The 16,858-nt window shown below is 41.3% G+C and overlaps 1 long non-coding RNA gene across 3 annotated transcripts in view; it reads right to left on the bottom strand.

Moving 5' to 3' along the window:
• Positions 1-16,482, bottom strand: part of LOC124902157 (uncharacterized) — a 49,126-nt gene extending 32,644 nt beyond the window's left edge. For 2 of the 3 annotated variants that reach the window (XR_007061491.1, XR_007061493.1), the window contains exons 1-3: positions 16,271-16,482; positions 15,608-15,791; positions 1,027-1,180 (exon numbers count right to left, since the gene is read on the bottom strand). This is a non-coding gene — a long non-coding RNA (uncharacterized LOC124902157). Of the gene's footprint in view, positions 1-1,026; positions 1,181-15,607; positions 15,792-16,026; positions 16,114-16,270 lie in introns of those variants that run through there. The other variant, XR_007061492.1, reaches the window with a different exon arrangement.
• Between the last annotated feature and the right edge of the window lie 376 nt (positions 16,483-16,858).

Genomic DNA, 16,858 nt, shown 5'->3' with positions numbered 1-16,858 from the left:
AACAGAACAAAGTCTTCCCTGAAGGTCTTGGAGAACCACGTGAGATCAGATCACAACCCAAGGTCTGCCCTGAGAAATGGGGAAAGCCAGGGACCTGCCACACCTCCCTTCCTCTTGTCTAACTGGAGATGAGAAACTAACTTAATTTTCATGATCTTACTATGTTAGCCTCATACGTAATCATCTTCTCTTTTGTCTAAATGGTTCCCTATTTTCACCTTATACTTAACTATCATATATAGGGCATATGAATATATTTATCTCAGATCCCATTCAGAAGTTGTAAAGGAATACATTATTAATAAATCAAATATTTCTACATTACATGGAAGAAAGTGTGGAACAGTTAAGAGGATGGGTACTGGTCCCAAAGAGTCCAGAGTTTAAACCCTTACTCTATATTATCTACACGATCTGCGCATGTCGCTTATTTTTAATGAGTTTTAGTTTCCTCATTTGCAAACAGCGTGACACTTGTCCCAAAGGATTGAACTGAGGATTTAGTAAGATAACAGGTGTAGAGGGTGTCTTCACAGTGCTGGGCTCGTGTCAGGCCCTCGATAAATATTAATTCAATTCCCCTTCTCCTGCCCTACTACCATCCTTCGGCTCAGAGCAGCCAAAAGCTGGAAAAATAGGCTCCACCCAGAAACTGTAACAAGATAACGATAAAGCACAGTTGGACGGATCAGGGGTAATCTACTGAGTTATCCCTGTTTTAAACCATTGTGTTTGCTTCTGTGCGTAGGAGAATCACCCCATGCTGAAGGGCACGTGGAACATTTGCACAGTTGCCCTTGGGAACATGAAGAACAACCGTTCCCTTAGCCAAGCCTAGGGCAGTGTGGAGAAGAGGGGCACATGGGACGCAGGTCCCTCTGCTACAAGCTTGACTGCCATCGGAAGCTGGGAGACACCAAAGGGTGGCCCCAGGGGCTCTCTGTCATCTTATGGTGACTCAAAAAATGCACATTCCTGCATTGATAACAATGGGTATTTTTATTACATGAAAATCTATGTACTTACTATTTGTGTTCTTCCCAACATTCAACTGACTTTTCTACCTGATGCAAAATGCAGGAGGGCTGTTCACGACTTCTTCCTCTCTTCCTCTTCTCCTCCTATTCTTCCTCTTTCTTCTCCTTCCTTCCTCCTTCCCCTCCTACTGATGTTTTTATTTCTATCAACAAAAATGAGAAAAATCACTTTCAGTTACAAAGTAAGTCTGAAACTATATCAAAATAATTTAGATCTTTAGTAGATTGAGAAAAAACACACGAACTTTTTCAACTTGCAGGAATAAAAATGTCAAGATTATTAACTCTGTTCTTTATTTTTAGTGAACTATAAAAAGGTTTATTGATAATTTCTGTTGAGCAAGATGACTTCAGAGTTTATATCATCTAGGCCTTAAGATTTACTAGAATTTTAATGTATCATTCTAAAGATGTGCTCACAGAATACCCCTCAGTGTTGCTTGACCGATAAGGGTACACGCTACAAACACGTGGAGAAAAACGTGCAGAGCTGTTCGTGCAAGAAATTAGTGGCCATTTAAATTCCTCACTTACCAACAAATTAATAGATTCCTTCATCCTAAAGAGTGCAAGTGTATTTTAGGTCCATGCCATAAATATTTAAAACTATCTCATCTTACTGAAAATTTATATAACACATGACCTTTGCAAAATTGCAACCTTTATTCTTCAAGCAAAACTTGGTTTCTGCTGGTCACCACAATGTGCTTCTTTTGGACACCATGTATAACTGAGATTGAATTGTAACTGTTAGCAGTGGAGAAAGCCTGCGGCAAATCAACTCAATTGAATTTTGTGTTCACAGATGCTTTGAGTTTTACAGAGTCTTATATTCCATTTTCAAGTGCATCATTCAGGACACAGGCCCATTTTCCATATCCCAGATCACCCAACCAGTCCAGGGCTATTTCAGAAACTTTCCTGAGCATATAATATAGACCAACGCTAGGTTGTAAACTACGTATAAAATTCTAAGCCCCCCAACCAACTGAACAGAAACTTCTTGGCCAAGAGGACCCCAGAGAAAACTGAAAAGCTGTTTCTGGCCCTGAAAGAAAGGGAGGTCAGACACACCTCATCATACCTCCTCTGTTTTGGAGTTTGGACTCAACAAGTAACCAGCAGCGGTGTTAAAATAGAGATCCTAAGACTGACAGAACAGACCCCGTGTGGCCATAAGATAACAAATTATGAACAAGCCCTAAGGCCATGCAAGGCAGGTGTAAGTCAGGCCTGCAGGCCATCAGGCTTGCTAACCAGGGCATTTTATTGTGGCTGACTCTGACAGAGCATTCTTACCTTCCTTTCTGTCAACTCTAAGCTGTAGACAGGGCCTTACTCCTTTAACCAATCACAAACCAGAGAATCCCCAAGTCCACCTACAACCTATAAGACCTCTCCTGAAGATAATCCCCCTTTCTGAACCGAACCAGTGTATACCTTCCATGTGTTGATGTCTTTGCCCGTAACTCCTGCCTCCCTGAAATGTATAAAACCAAACCAACCCGGCCACCTCGGAACCACTTACTCAAGCCTTCTTGGTTGCGTGTTTTCTCCAGGCCTCAGTCACTCATATTGGTTCAGAATAAACCTCTTTAAAATATATTACAGTTTGTTTTATCCATTAACAAAGTCAAGCAATTAGTTCTTAGATCTGAAAATATAACTATTACTGCACTAAAATAGATTAATGAAAGAGGATATACTAGATACAGGAATATGAATAGCACAAAATGTGGCACATTTGTGGAACACAGAAAAGGGATTCTATGAGTTAGCCAGTTAAAATAACTAAGGCCATGGCCATTTCACATCCCAGGTCCAGAATTTGAAAGATCAAAGTATCTCCATAAAAAATATATATTTTCCCCTTCGTGCTTGAAGATGCAATAGGCAATGTTATGGTAAAGTCAGGAAACATGAGTCTGTCTTATTTCGTTTCGGACCCTGAGTTGGCTGTTTCACATCTTTCCACCAATTCACAGGCGTGACTTTAATTATCACTCATACCCTGTACTTTTTTTTTTTTTTTTGAGACGGAGTCTTGCTTTGTTGCCAGGCTGGAGTGCAGTGGCGATCTTGACTCACTGCAACCTCCAACTCCCAGATTCCAGCGATTCTCCTGCCTCAGCCTCGCAAGTAGCTGGGATTACAGGTGCATGCCACCATGCCCAGCTAATTTTTGTATTTTTAATAGAGACAGGGTTTCAGCGTACTGGCCAGGATGGTCTCGATCTCCTGACCTCGTGATCCGCCCGCCTCAGCCTCCCAAAGTGCTGGAAATAAAGGAATGAGCCACCGCAACTGGCCGCCCTATTTACTTTTAAATATATATTTCTAGTCCAGACTTTTCTTCCACGCCCATACTTGAATATTCATGCATCTTCTGAATTGTTTCCACTTGGATTTTTCTCAGACACCTAAGATTCAGCCTGTCAATTCTATCCATCATTCTTCCAAATCCTCTTCCTGCCCCTGAGCTCCCCCTCCCAATGCCTAGCAGCATCATTCCCTCCTGACACTTCCTTCTTACCACCCCCCCACCTATGCCCTCCTGCCACAATTAAGTTCTGTGAACCCATTTTCTTAAAAACTCTTTAATTCTTGAATTCATATCATCATGACTTCTCACCTTCGCTATTGTAACAAAATTTAATGATCTCCCTGCTTCTATTTTTTTGATTCCCTCTCACATTTCCTTCATAGCAATCTTTTAAAATTTAAATCTAACCCTGTCACCTTTACTTTAAAATCCCTACAAGGCTTCTTACTGCTTTCAGAGAAAAGTTTAGGCTTCTTAGTTCAGCATAGAAGACATCTGTTGGTTAAATGTTGAGTAAATTAAACTTTGAGCTTTTATTAGGTAAATTAAAATCCTTTAACCTCTAAGAACTCTAGCATCCTAGATGCAATACCAAATCCTCTATCTAGTACTTCCACCAGGGCACCTCCCTCTGCCCATATACTGACCCCATCCCAACTACTTAACAACCCATAGGTTGTCATAAAGAAAACAGAGACTGACAAGGCTTAGAGACCCTTAGAATACTTTTATAACCTCTTCATTTTCATAGTACCTTGAGTGCAAGCTGCTCCATCTGAGACACGACTCTTTAGAGATGAAGCTAATCAAATCAGTACATGTTCAGCCCCCTTGCTATCCAGCTCCTCACCATACCATAACACTCCACATGCCATAACCAGTGCCTACCCCTTCACAAGTACTTGGCAAGGGGCAAAATAAGAAGATTTTGATACCTTCTAGAGAAGACTAAAATCATCACCATGCCCAGTCAGGTTTTTCATCTGTTCTTCTGAGGGCAGCTGCAAGAGGTTGCCTAAGAGACTTTATCTGCATAGTGACAGCCTTTGTTCAGTGCAATTCCACCCCTCACCTTCCCATAACTTGTCCTGTTCAAATTCCAAAGAGAATAATTTATAAACTAATTTCTGTCTCCCAGGCCCATTCAGTTCTCCTGAAAAGCATTTTACTATTCCTCAAAATTACCTGCACACTAATCTCCCCTCTTCCCTACAAAAAGAATGCTATTTAAGCCTCAGCTGTATGGCCCTTCTTTGAGTCTCATATTTATAGGGCTCGCATTTTCATGTACATATTAGCAAATCTGTGTGTGTTTTTCTCCTGTTAATCTATCTATTGTCAATGTATTTTGGCAGGATAACTCAGTTATCACACCTCCAGAGGAAAAGTTTAAACTTCTCTACATGTATTACTCACAATTTTTGCCATGGTCTCCTAATCATTCCAAAGTCTATGTGCCTGCATGATTCAAATAAGCTTGATTCTCTCCTTGCTTGGCACACAATGGAAAAGAATCTATAACTCATATTAATAAGTTTCATTTGTAAATGGGAATCATAGAGACCTTTAAAACCAGCCCTAAATGTGAGGCATTAGATCAATCTAGAGTCATTTGCATTCTAATAGGTCAAAGTTATCTCAATGCTGTATTAATACGTTTTACCATATTTAAAGAAGAACATAAAAATGGAATTGCATTCCGATTTTTTTCATTAAAGTTAATTTAACCAAATTTCATAGCTTAAAGGCACACAATTCAACTATCTAGATGTAACAGTGAAATACAGTTTCTGAACTGCTTTGACTAGTAGACAAGATATATTTCTTAATTCCACTTTTATTTTACTTATTTAATCTTCAGGCTATACAACAGTAAGGAACAAACAATGACATTCTCATCTCAAGGCACAAGCATTTATATTATCATTCCCAGTGGGGATGTTGCAGAAGCAAGTTTTAGGTTAACAAGATTTAATTTGTTTTTACTTCTTTTGAAATCAAATCATAGGGTTTTTTAAAAATAAAATGAGAAGTATACGGAAATAAATCATATATAAAGTTATAGGTTAGACATTGAGCTCAAATGTTAAATAAGACAGAATGAGAAAATCAATTCTCCCCCAAGATTAAGAAAGGTGAGAAAAATGTACCAGCACTAGGAGGATGGTAGGGACAGGCTTCCTCCTGCTTGGTTTTATGTATTTAACAAACCTGTCTTGGCTACTATGTGCTAGACATTGATCTATGCACTTTAGAATATTAATTCACCTTTATAGAAACCAATGAAGAGGTTTAGATATTACTATTTTATCCATTTTTAAATGGGAAAAGGAAAGCCATAGAGATTAGGAGACTTTCTTCAAGTCACGTGCTTAATAAGTGGTAAGTGGCAGGGCAGGGATCAAATCCCAGGTGTCTGGCTTCAGAATTGTCTCAGCCACTGGGCCATGCTGCCTTGGTATCCCTTTATAAAATCACTAACTGGGCACAGAAAATACATCTGGGTATGGGATTTGCAAATGTTTTCTCCAAGTCAGTAGCAAGGCTTTTCATTTTTGTTTCGGTGTCTTTTGAAATCCAATTTATTAATTTGTTATTTTACAGATTGTGCTTTCGTTGCCTTAGCCAAGAAATATTTGACTAACCCGAGGTCACAGAGACTTGCTTCTGTTTCATTCTAGAAGTTTTATAGTTTTAACTTTTACATTTAGGTCTATGAACCATTCTGAGTTCATGTTTACATATAATGCAAGGTAAGGACCAAAGTTCATTTTTTTTTGTATATCTAAAAGTCCCAGTACCATTTGTCACACGGCTCTCCTTTCTCCACTGGACTGCTTTGGTGCTTTTGTTGAAAAATCTATTCTCCATATACATGGGGTTCAAGAAGTATTTTTATCACATTTTATAGGAAAATGGAGGTGTTGGTGAAAAAAGCCAAACTCTGTAGAATATTTAAAGAAGTTTATTTTGTGTTGGGAACAAGCCCCCCAAAATCTGGTCATAAACTGGCCCCAAAACTGGCCATAAACAGGATCTCTGCAGCACCATGACATGTTCATGATGGCCATAATGCCCATGCTGGAAGGTTGTGGGTTTATGGGAATGAGGGCAAGGAACACTTGCCCCGCCCAGGGCAGAAAACCACTTAAAGGCATTCTTAAGCCACAAACAATAGCATGAGCGATCTGTGCCTTAAGGACATGCTCCTGCTGCAGTTAACTAGCCCAACCTCTTCCTTTAATTCGGCCCATCCCTTCCTTTCCCATAAGGGATTCTTTTAGTTAATTTAATATCTGTAGAAACAATGCTAATGACTGGCTTGCTGTTAATAAATACGTGGGTAAATCTCTGTTCGGGGCTCTCAGCTCTGAAGGCTGTGAGACCCCTGATTTCCCACCTCTATATTTCTGTGTGTGTGTCTTTAATTCCTCTAGCTCAGCTGGGTTAGGGTCTCCCTGACCGAGCCGGTCTCAGCAATTCTGGGCCAAATATGAGTGACCATGGCTCAAGGCACAGTCTCAAGAGCTCCTGAGAACATGTGCCCAAGGGAGTCGGGCTACAGCTTGGTTTTATTATTTAGGAAGACATAAGACATCAATCAATACATGTAAGTTATACATTGGTTCGGTCCAGAAAGGCGGGACAACTCAAAGTGGCGGTGGGGGTGGGAGGTGGTTGGGGCTTACAGGTCATAGGTGGATTCAAAGGTTTTTCTGATTGGCAATTGGTTGAAAGGGTTAAGTTACCATCCAAAGGTTTAGAATCAATAGAAAGGAGTGTCTGGATTAAGATAAGAGGTTGTGGAGACTAAGGTTCTTCTTATGTAGATGAGGTCTAATAGGTGGCCACCCTTAGAGAAAAATAGATGGTAAATATTTCCTATTCAGATCTTTAAAAGGTGCTAGACCCTCAGTTAATCTCTTCAGGATTGGGAAGGCCTGGGAGGGGAAAGATCTAGCTATGTTAATAGATGTTCTTTTTTTTTTTTCCGAGACGGGGTCTCACTCTGTTGTCCAGGGTGGAGTGCGGTGGCGTGATCTCGACTCACTGCAACCTCTGCCTCCTGGGTTCAAGCAATTCTCCCACATCAACCTCCCAAGTAGCTGGGGCACCACCATGCCAGGCTAATTTCTGTATTTTTAGTAGAGACAGGGTTTCACCATGTTGGCCAGGCTGGCCTCAAACTCCCAGCCTCAAGTGATCCACCCACCTCAGCCTCCCACAGTGTTGGGATTACAGGCCTGAGCCACTGTGCCCAGCTGGAGATTCTTTATAGATGCAAATCTTGCCCCACAAAAGATGGCTCTGCAGGGCCATTTCAAAATATGGCAAAGAGACATATTTTGGGATAAAATATTTTGATTTCCTTCTTTATCTGTCATGTAATATTATACTAGAGTTGGGTTGAAATGTGGTATCTTGTTACAAAGGTTGTGTTTTGTCAGTGTTATGATCTCTGTTTCAGTGTTAATGTTGGTGGCTTGTGCCTGAACTCCTCCTGTCCTGGCCTGACCTAGCTTTTTAGGTTTCTTTGGGCCCCCTTGGCTAACAGAGGGGTCCATTTTAGTCGGTTGGAGGCTAAGAATTTTATTTTTGGTTTACAAAGATGTCAGACTATTAATTAACTCACTGAAGGTCACACAGAAACTAGACTCCCATCACATCCCAAATCCATTTTTTCTCCGTGACTTCAGCAAGCTACTGAACTCTGCTTTTCTCTTTCCTTAAATATAAGATGAGAATGAGTTCCAGTCCCTACCTACCCGGCTGTCTGACCAAGCTCATTTCTTCCCGATTTCCTATTGATTGACGTTAGACAATTCAGGCCTGTGTCCTGGTTTTCTTTTTTTAAACATGAAGCCCCCATTCCTGTACCGAAGAACCAAAGTGGACCCTGACCAGGAGGAATTGAGGCACCTTGTAGCCTTGGCCTCTCACATTGCCTTTCCAGGAATTGACCTGAGACACCACAAATGGGTTATTCAATGGGAGATGCTGAAGTAGGCCCTGGAAAAAGACTCCTGGAACCAAGGCTGCCCTTTAGGAGCCATCATGATGGAGACTCATACAAAGGAGTAATCAGAAAAGCCTCTTTGCAGAGACACTAAGAAAAAGGGGTGGCCACTTGGAGAGATGCTGAGATGAGAAACCTCAGCTCCTGGGCCTCAGTCCTCTGTTCCAAACACTTAAGAGGCTGATAGTCAGCTGTCTCCTATATTTTTATAAGTTTACTTCATTTTTTACTAGAAGTTAGTTTAAAGGAGTTACTGTCTTATGATGAAATGATCCCTGAGACGAAGGGTTTCTGCAGAGATTAAATATGTTTAAATAAGGAAATATTTAGGTTGAAAAATATAAAATTGCAGATATGTGACCATTTTTAAATAAAAATATTTAAATAAAAAAAGCAATGTCATCTGCTTTAATCTAGCATACACTGCAGTGCTTAGCATGGTACCTGAGAGCATCAGTTCCTCACTAGCCTGGCCTTGTCAGAGCTTGTCTTCATTTGAAATGTTGGTATTTTGCTCATAATGAATTTTTTGCATTCATTTTGATATTTTAATATTATGTTAACTATTTATCTTAATGACTGAATTTTTTGGTGACTTCTCAGTTTTGCACACGAGGCAAATGAGGCAGTTGCTCACCTCAGTCCTGGCCCTGACGCAGAGCTCATCATTAGCTCGTTAATAGTGTACTTGTGGTTGGGTGCGGTGGCTCACGCCTGTAATCCCAGCACTCTGGGAGGCCAAGGCGGGCGGATCATGAGGTTAGGAGATTGAGACCATCCTGGCTAACATGGTGAAACCCCATCTGTACTAAAAATACAAAAAATTAGCCGGGCGTGGTGGTGGCCGCCTGTATTCCCAGCTGCTTGGGAGGCTGAGGCAGGAGAATGGCATGAACTTGGGAATTGGAGCTTAGCTTACAGTGAGCCAAGATCACGCCACTGCACTCCAGCCTGGGTGACAGAGCAAGACTCTGTCTCAAAAAAATAAAAAAAAGTGTACGTGTTTGTTGTATTATTGAAGTTACTCATGGAAAATAACTGGATTGCAATCAACCAGTCCTTTTGTAATCAGTGTATCTGATTCATTAAAAGACAGTCTTAAAAAGTACTCCACACTCTGATGATGGAAAATTGCCCACATATCAGTACTCACACAAGATATACAATCTTTTTTTTTTTTTTTTTTTTTTTGAGTTTCAAGCTGTCAAGTCGTGAAAGAAAGGATATATTTTTAGAATGTGGCTTTAGGGAGGAGTTGAAGAAGAAAAAACATTAATTTAGTGTCTGTTCCCTGCTAGGCACCGTTCAGGTAAATTACAGATGTTAACTCACTGAAACTCAGAGCTACTCTGAAAAGTGGGTGCTGTTACTCTCACTGCAGAGACAAGAAAACTGATTATAATGAATAAATCAAGATCACATAGCAAGTAAATGACAGACATGCAGTTTGATGATTTTAAATATTTTCACAACACCATGCTGTCTCTCATTTAGTTTAGAATAATTTTGTGTCACTCTAGATTATATTTTCACTTTAAAAATCCTAGGAGCCCTAGAGACTATGGTAAAACAATACCCTTTTAAATCAGCACTTTACATAATTCTGGGATTTATTTTTTATTATATTGTTCTTTTTTGAGATGGAGTCTTGCTCTGTCGCCCAGGCTGGAGTGCAAGGGCACGATCTCGACACTCTGCAACCTCTGCTTCCTGGGTTCAAGTGATTCTCCTGTCTCAACCTCCTGAGTGTCAGGCCTCTGAGCGCAAGCTAAGCCATCATATCCCCTGTGACCTGCACATATACATCCAGATGGCCTGAAGTAACTGAAGAATCACAAAAGAAGTGAAAATGGCCTGTTCCTGCCTTAACTGATGACATTACCTTGTGAAATTCCTTCTCCTGGCTCATCCTGGCTCAAAAGCTCCCGCACTGAGCACCTTGTGACCCCTGCCTCTGCCCGCCAGAGAGCAACCCCCTCTTGACTGTAATTTTCCTTTACCTACCTAAATCCTATAAAATGGCCCCACTCCTATCTCCCTTCGCTGACTCTCTTTTTGGACTCAGCCCGCCTGCACCCAGGTGAAATAAACAGCCTTGTTGCTCACACAAAGCTTGTTTGGTGGTCTCCTCACGTGGACACGAGTGAAACCGATAGCTGGGATTACAAGTACCCGCCACTATGCCCAGCTAATTTTTTTTATTTAGTATTTTTAGTACAGACAGGGTTTCACCATGTTGCCTAGGCTGGTCTCGAACTCCTGAGCTCAGGCAATCTACCTGCCTCAGCCTCCCAAAGTGCTGGGATTACAGGCATGAGCCACTGCCTCTGGCCTTATTTTTTAAACTGGGAGTCAATTGCCAGGCTACTGTATACCTTTGCATTTATAAGTCATAAGTGTTCATACGCAGCCATGAGGTGCTAGGAGGAAGAAGCTCTTCCACGGATTCATTCAGGCATTCACCGAACAAATATCTGAGACTTCATGCTGTGCTAGGCCCTAAGAAAATGACAGATTGCTCCTGCCCCACAGGACCTACTTACAACGTAGGGAGACACTGTGTGTTGAAATAATTTGCTGGCCACTTAGAAAAAACATTATGTTTGGACTCCTGTGTCACAACTCACCTCAAAACCAATCCTGGAAGCACATAAGAATTAATGTGAAAATTAAAACATAAAAGAGCTAGGTAAAAGTAAAAAAAAAAATCCTTGTGGCTTACATGTGGACTTTGTAGATATAATACTGAAAGCTAGAAACCATAAAGAAAATATTGTAACTTAAAAGTTCCCTTGACCACGGAGCTCTCTCACCTGAACACTAGTAAAGCACTGCGCAGATTCACAACTCATCCTGTCATTGTTTTCCTTATCAACACTAGCCCTGACAACTGTTGTAAAAACAAAACTTGTCAGCACAATTTTTAATTGCTGCAACTTTTCCATTTTGAAAATTCAGGTTCTGCTCTTCACAGTGTAGCATCAAACAGTCAGAGTTGCTGCTTACCATGATCTCACCAAGCCAAGGGGACCAAGCCTTCTTCCAACTTATTCTCCAGCCTACTGTGAAAAAAGTCATCAGGTAGCGGGAGAGAAAGTAGAGCACGTGCATTTCAAAGAACCTTAACTGGAGTCATCGGAGACTTCAGAACGTCTTGTCATGTTCTTATTTCCTCAGTAAATGCAGAATAATAAGCATGTGGCCACAAGCTTTGGCAATGAACACAGCCTAATCAAAGCTAATGCAAGTCAGGCAGGGCCTCCAAAGAGGCCCTGTCTAATCTTTGCACCGTCCTTTTAATACGTTCGAAGGGCTTCTACACATTTAACCCCAAGAAGCACAAAGGCAGGAGCCTAAATTAAGTTCAAGAAGACGTCTCACCCACCTTGAGTGACAGGTGGGTAGAGAGCACTGGTGACACTGTTGTTCCCTCCCCAACAGCCCCACAGAAATGCAAAGCCAGTCAGATCCAACCCCGACTGCTCATCCTCCTGTCTTTTCTATCTCAGTTAATGAAATGGCCATCTACTCAAATCCTCAAGCCAGAAACTTATCATTGTTTCTCTTTCCTCTCTCCTGGTCCTCACAGCTGTTCTACCTTCTGAATACAATCCATGTCTCACCAGCTCTAAACCAGACTCTGGGCTCTGAGCCAGCATCGTCTGTAGTGGGATGTAGTGGCCCCCTGAGGAGTTTATATCCCCCAACTCCGCCTACAAACATCGAGAGTGATCTTTTGAAAATGTAAATCAGATCATATCACTCCCATGCTTCAAAGCTCTTGAAATGCTCCCCGGCCACTTTGAATGACATACAAATTCCTAGTGGTGGCCTCTAAGACTCTACATGATTTGGTCCTGACTGGGTTTCTGACCTTTGTGATCATGTAGCTATTAAGCAACACTTTAACTGATTATTTGTAGAGGTCCACAATGGATTATAGAATATTATATATAGTTGAGAACAATATTTAAAAGAATATGTAGAGAAATACACACACACAATACACACATGCATATATACGTGTATATACACCTATGATTATATTTTAGAGAATGCATATGCTCATGCCACCATAGGAAGCACACAGGACCAGCCTCCTTGTTGTCACATACTCCCCTTTACAGAAAGAGCCCCAAAACAATTGTTGCCCTCTTCTCAGGGGGCATTTCAGAATCCTTGGGAAGGATATTCACTTAAACGCTTTCCATTTTGGCAATGAATAATATCTTAAGAGGGTTAGAACACTTGTCAACAACCACTTACACATATTTTTTTCCTAAACTTCATGCTCTTCAAAATTGAGAAAAAAAAATTAAGAACTATTCTTGTCTTCAAGAAGACAAAGAATACAGTCTGCCTGAATTGTGAATTCAAAGGTATATTCTCTCATTCAAATTACTATTTCTATTGTGTAGAATTTCTCCTCTCATTCAAAAGAAAGAAATGTGAATCTTCTCATAGGGAGGGATGTGTAGCATTTATGTTCTGGAAAAATCCTCTGTGATGAGCCGCATTGTGCATGTGATGCCCACACCCTTCTCAGGATGTGAATCGCAGAGTCCATCATATCAGTGAGCCAAGAAGCTTGGGTATGTTTGCCAATGACTTAATACACAAGAGTGTGTGTTTTGGAAATTATATCTAACATAATGTTCATTTTGGAAAGCACTTACTCTGTACCAGACAGTGTGCTGAATCTTATGCGTGAATCATCTCTTAGCTCGAGACTTTTTTTTTAAATGAGATTTATATTCTCATTTTACATGCAAGATGAATGAGCCAACTTTAGAGATTGAGCAACAGGTTCCCAGAAACAGAGCATGTACGGTCTATGCTCTGCCGCACCCATGAATTAGCATATATTGAAAACTATGTAGGGGCAACAAATGCACAGTACCCCATATAACTTGCTGGGGACCAGAACACGATACCTCCAAATATGGTGCCTTGGCATTCGAGGAAACTGCAGAACAAGAAAGTCACTCTGACCTCCTCCCACCTTTCTGTGTAAAACATAGTTATAAACGATTTCTCTGACCTTCCTCACCTGAAATTAAGTTGTAAGACCCTCACTCCATAGGAGCCCTGCCCCATTCCCAGGGGGAAGGAATGCTACTCAGAAAGGCCAAGGAGAATCTGAACAAGAGACCTTTCTAAGTTCCCCCCAGTTTATTACCATTATGTCACACCCTTTCATCCAATCATAGTTCTACATGACTGTTTATTCTATATCAAACCTAAGCATACAAGTACACGCTTTTCTCTAGATCTTCATTTCTGAAACCTCCTGTGCCATGCAAAACTTCAGTTAAATAAATTTTTATGCTTTTCTCTTGTTAATCTGTCTTTTGTTATCAAGGTGTCAGCCATGACCCTTGTGATGGGTGAGGAAAAGGTATTGCTTTTTCACCCCTACAAAACCCATAACATGTTAGCTCAGTCAGAGCCTTCCCCCTCAAAAAGTAACATGCTAATTTCTTTTAATTGGGTTCAGTTATGTTACCATAAAATATGGTACCTTGACATTTGAGGAAACTGAAGAAGAAATATCACTCTATGACTGTCCCTGATCCTCCTTCCTAAAAGCATGTCCTAAAACCTAGGATGGATTTTCTGACCTTCTCCTGAAGCAGGTCATAGGACTCTTATTTGAGAGGTTCTCCCTATACCCAGAGGAAAGGAGCATCCTTATCTCCGAAGACACAGGGACACAGAGAAGAACCTGCACAAAAGCCTTGCTAAGTTTCCTTCAGTGTGTTACCATGAGGTCTACCCACCTTGTCCAGTTATATTTCTTCATGACTGTACATCAAATGTAGCATAAGAAATACACGTTTTTTTTTGTTTGTTTGTTTGTTTGTTTTTGGGATGGAGTCTTGCTCAGTCACCCAGGCTGGAGAGCAGTGGCGCGATCTCGGCTCACTGCAAGCTCCGCCTCCCGGGTTCATGCCATTCTCCTGCCTCAGCCTCCCGAGTAGCTGGGACTACAGGCGCCCGCCACCACGCCCGGCTAATTTTTTGTATTTTTAGTAGAGACAGGGTTTCACCGTGTTAGCCAGGATGGTCTGGATCTCCTGACCTTGTGATCTGCCCACCTCGGCCTCCCAAAGTGCTGGGATTACAAGCATGAGCCACCGCGCCAGGTCAATACACAGGTTTTCTACTTCTTTAGTTCTTTATTTTTCATGAAGTCATGTCATGTAAAACTTATTAGTAGGTTTTATGCTTTTCTCTTGTCAATTTGTCTTTTGTTATAGGGGCCTCAGCCATGAACCTAGCAATGGCTGAGGAAAAGATACCTCTTTTCCCCTGCACTTTTAACTATCTATAACAGAAAAAAAAAAAAAACCTCACTTTGACAAGCACACATTGAAGTCTCCCCAGAGAAGGAATCAGAGCCGTAATTTGTTTTTTTCTTTTAATTTAGATTTTACTTCTATCCTAGATCAGTCCCATTCTTTCTGCTATTTCTCTGGTCCCAGACCTCTTTATTTTACCTCACAACTAGTTTACCAGCTCCCTTAAGGTGACCCATCATTAACTTTCTTTTTTAATCTTTCAGCTAGCCTATTGTCAACTACTCCCAAAGCCTGGAAAGAAGCTCTGCCCATTGTCACTCTCCTGCTCTTGATATATCTGATATTGTTTCTGATTCTGCTATTTTCTGACATGCTTATCAAAAAAGGCCTGATTTCCAAATAATGAGAAACACCGAACTAATATATTAAAACATGGAATTTGTGCAGATGCTTTATAGAGAAACAATAACATTCATAATGTCAATATTTGATGGTAAAAGTGAGGACTGAGCCTGGCTCATGAGGGATGCTGGTCTATTTCTCCATTTCACTTGGGATAGCCACACTTGCTTGGTTAAGCTCTTGAACAATTTCCTTGTGAGACAGAACCTTTAAGAACGACGTAGGCTAAGATGAGAAATGGAAACCAGCCAGTTCACTGACCTTAAAGAATACGAACAAAAAACCAGAACACCTGCTTGTTCTTTGGCAGGCACAGCAGCTGTGGTACACCTCTGGCTCCTGGCCTTCCCACCCACCAGCCATCCTAAATATACAGAACACAAAATTGGGAAGGGCTATAAGCGCAGTGAGAAAACTCACTTAACTCACTTAAGGCTATCATTCTTTCTCATGTTTTTTTTTTTTAATACAATTTTAAAATGTTCTCTTATGTAAAATATTAAAAGGAGGAAGAGATTTTATTTACCGTAAGCAGCTATTGAAGAAGAGAGAATGATTCCTTGTTAACTGGATCTTTTCCTTGAGAAACAACAGCAGTGTTTGAAGTCTCTGGCATCTTACTTGGGAGGCTGGTAACAGCTTGAATTCATCATTTCAAATAAAGTTTTCATTGAAACTAATTTTTTTGTTCATTAAACATAAATAGAATCCTATGTAAAAGGAGAAAGTATTTTGTTAAAAAATGTATCTAGTGAAAAGAATATTAAGTTATTCAATTCTGTATTCATCCATCCACCCATCCATCCATCCATGTACTCTCTGTATACATTTGCTGAGAACCTATTGTATGCTGGGCACCATGAGAGGTGTTAAGATATCGAGGTAAACAAGATGCATCTAAGTTAATATATGCTTTCATCTTTTAAAAGTCTACTTCATTCCTACCAAATATTTTTTAGCAACCCTGATGATCAAGCTGAGAAACACTGGTTTCAGACACACACACACACACACACACACACGAGACACACACACACACACACCACCCCCCCACCCCCCCCCGCCCCGATGTAACCCAGTGCAGACTCAGCTGCCCACCGCTTGCAAAGTCAGTAACAAGGAGGAAGTCTGTAGTGAAAGGAAAGTTACTTTGTTTCCAAAGCTAGCAGCAGGGAAGCAGGCTGCTTACCTTACGCCTCCAGAAACCTCTTAAAACTTTAGGCTGGGGAGAAAGGCTTAAAAAGGGGAAATTGGAATGGGAGGCCCGTGGGAGAGTGCATTGCACAAGGTCTGCTGTCTTGTTCTGGTGCCTATTTCAAGCTGTGGTCCACTTGAAGGGCAGGTTGCTGTCATCTCAACAATTGACGAGTTGTTGACAGCCACCTTGAGGTCATCACTGGGACTTTGCAGCGGAGTCTCCATGCTTGGTCTGTCTTTTTTTTTTTTTTTTTTTTTGAGACGGAGTCTCGCTCTGTCGCCCAGGCTGGAGTGCAGTGGCGCGATCTCGGCTCACTGCAAGCTCCGCCTCCCGGGTTCACGCCATTCTCCTGCCTCAGCCTCCCCAGTAGCTGGGACTACAGGCGCCCGCCACCACGCCCGGCTAATTTTTTGTATTTTTAGTAGAAACGGGGTTTCACCGTGTTAGCCAGGATGATCTCGATCTCCTGACCTCGTGATCCACCCACCTCGGCCTCCCAAAGTGCTGGGATTACAGGCATGAGCTACGGCGCCCTGCCGCTTGGTCTGTCGTAACGTTAGGCCCTGGAACTTCTAAATA

Source organism: Homo sapiens, chromosome 9 (genome assembly GCF_000001405.40).
Source record: "Homo sapiens chromosome 9, GRCh38.p14 Primary Assembly".
NCBI classification, from domain to species: domain Eukaryota; kingdom Metazoa; phylum Chordata; class Mammalia; order Primates; family Hominidae; genus Homo; species Homo sapiens.
This window is presented reverse-complemented; position numbering and strand designations above follow the sequence as displayed.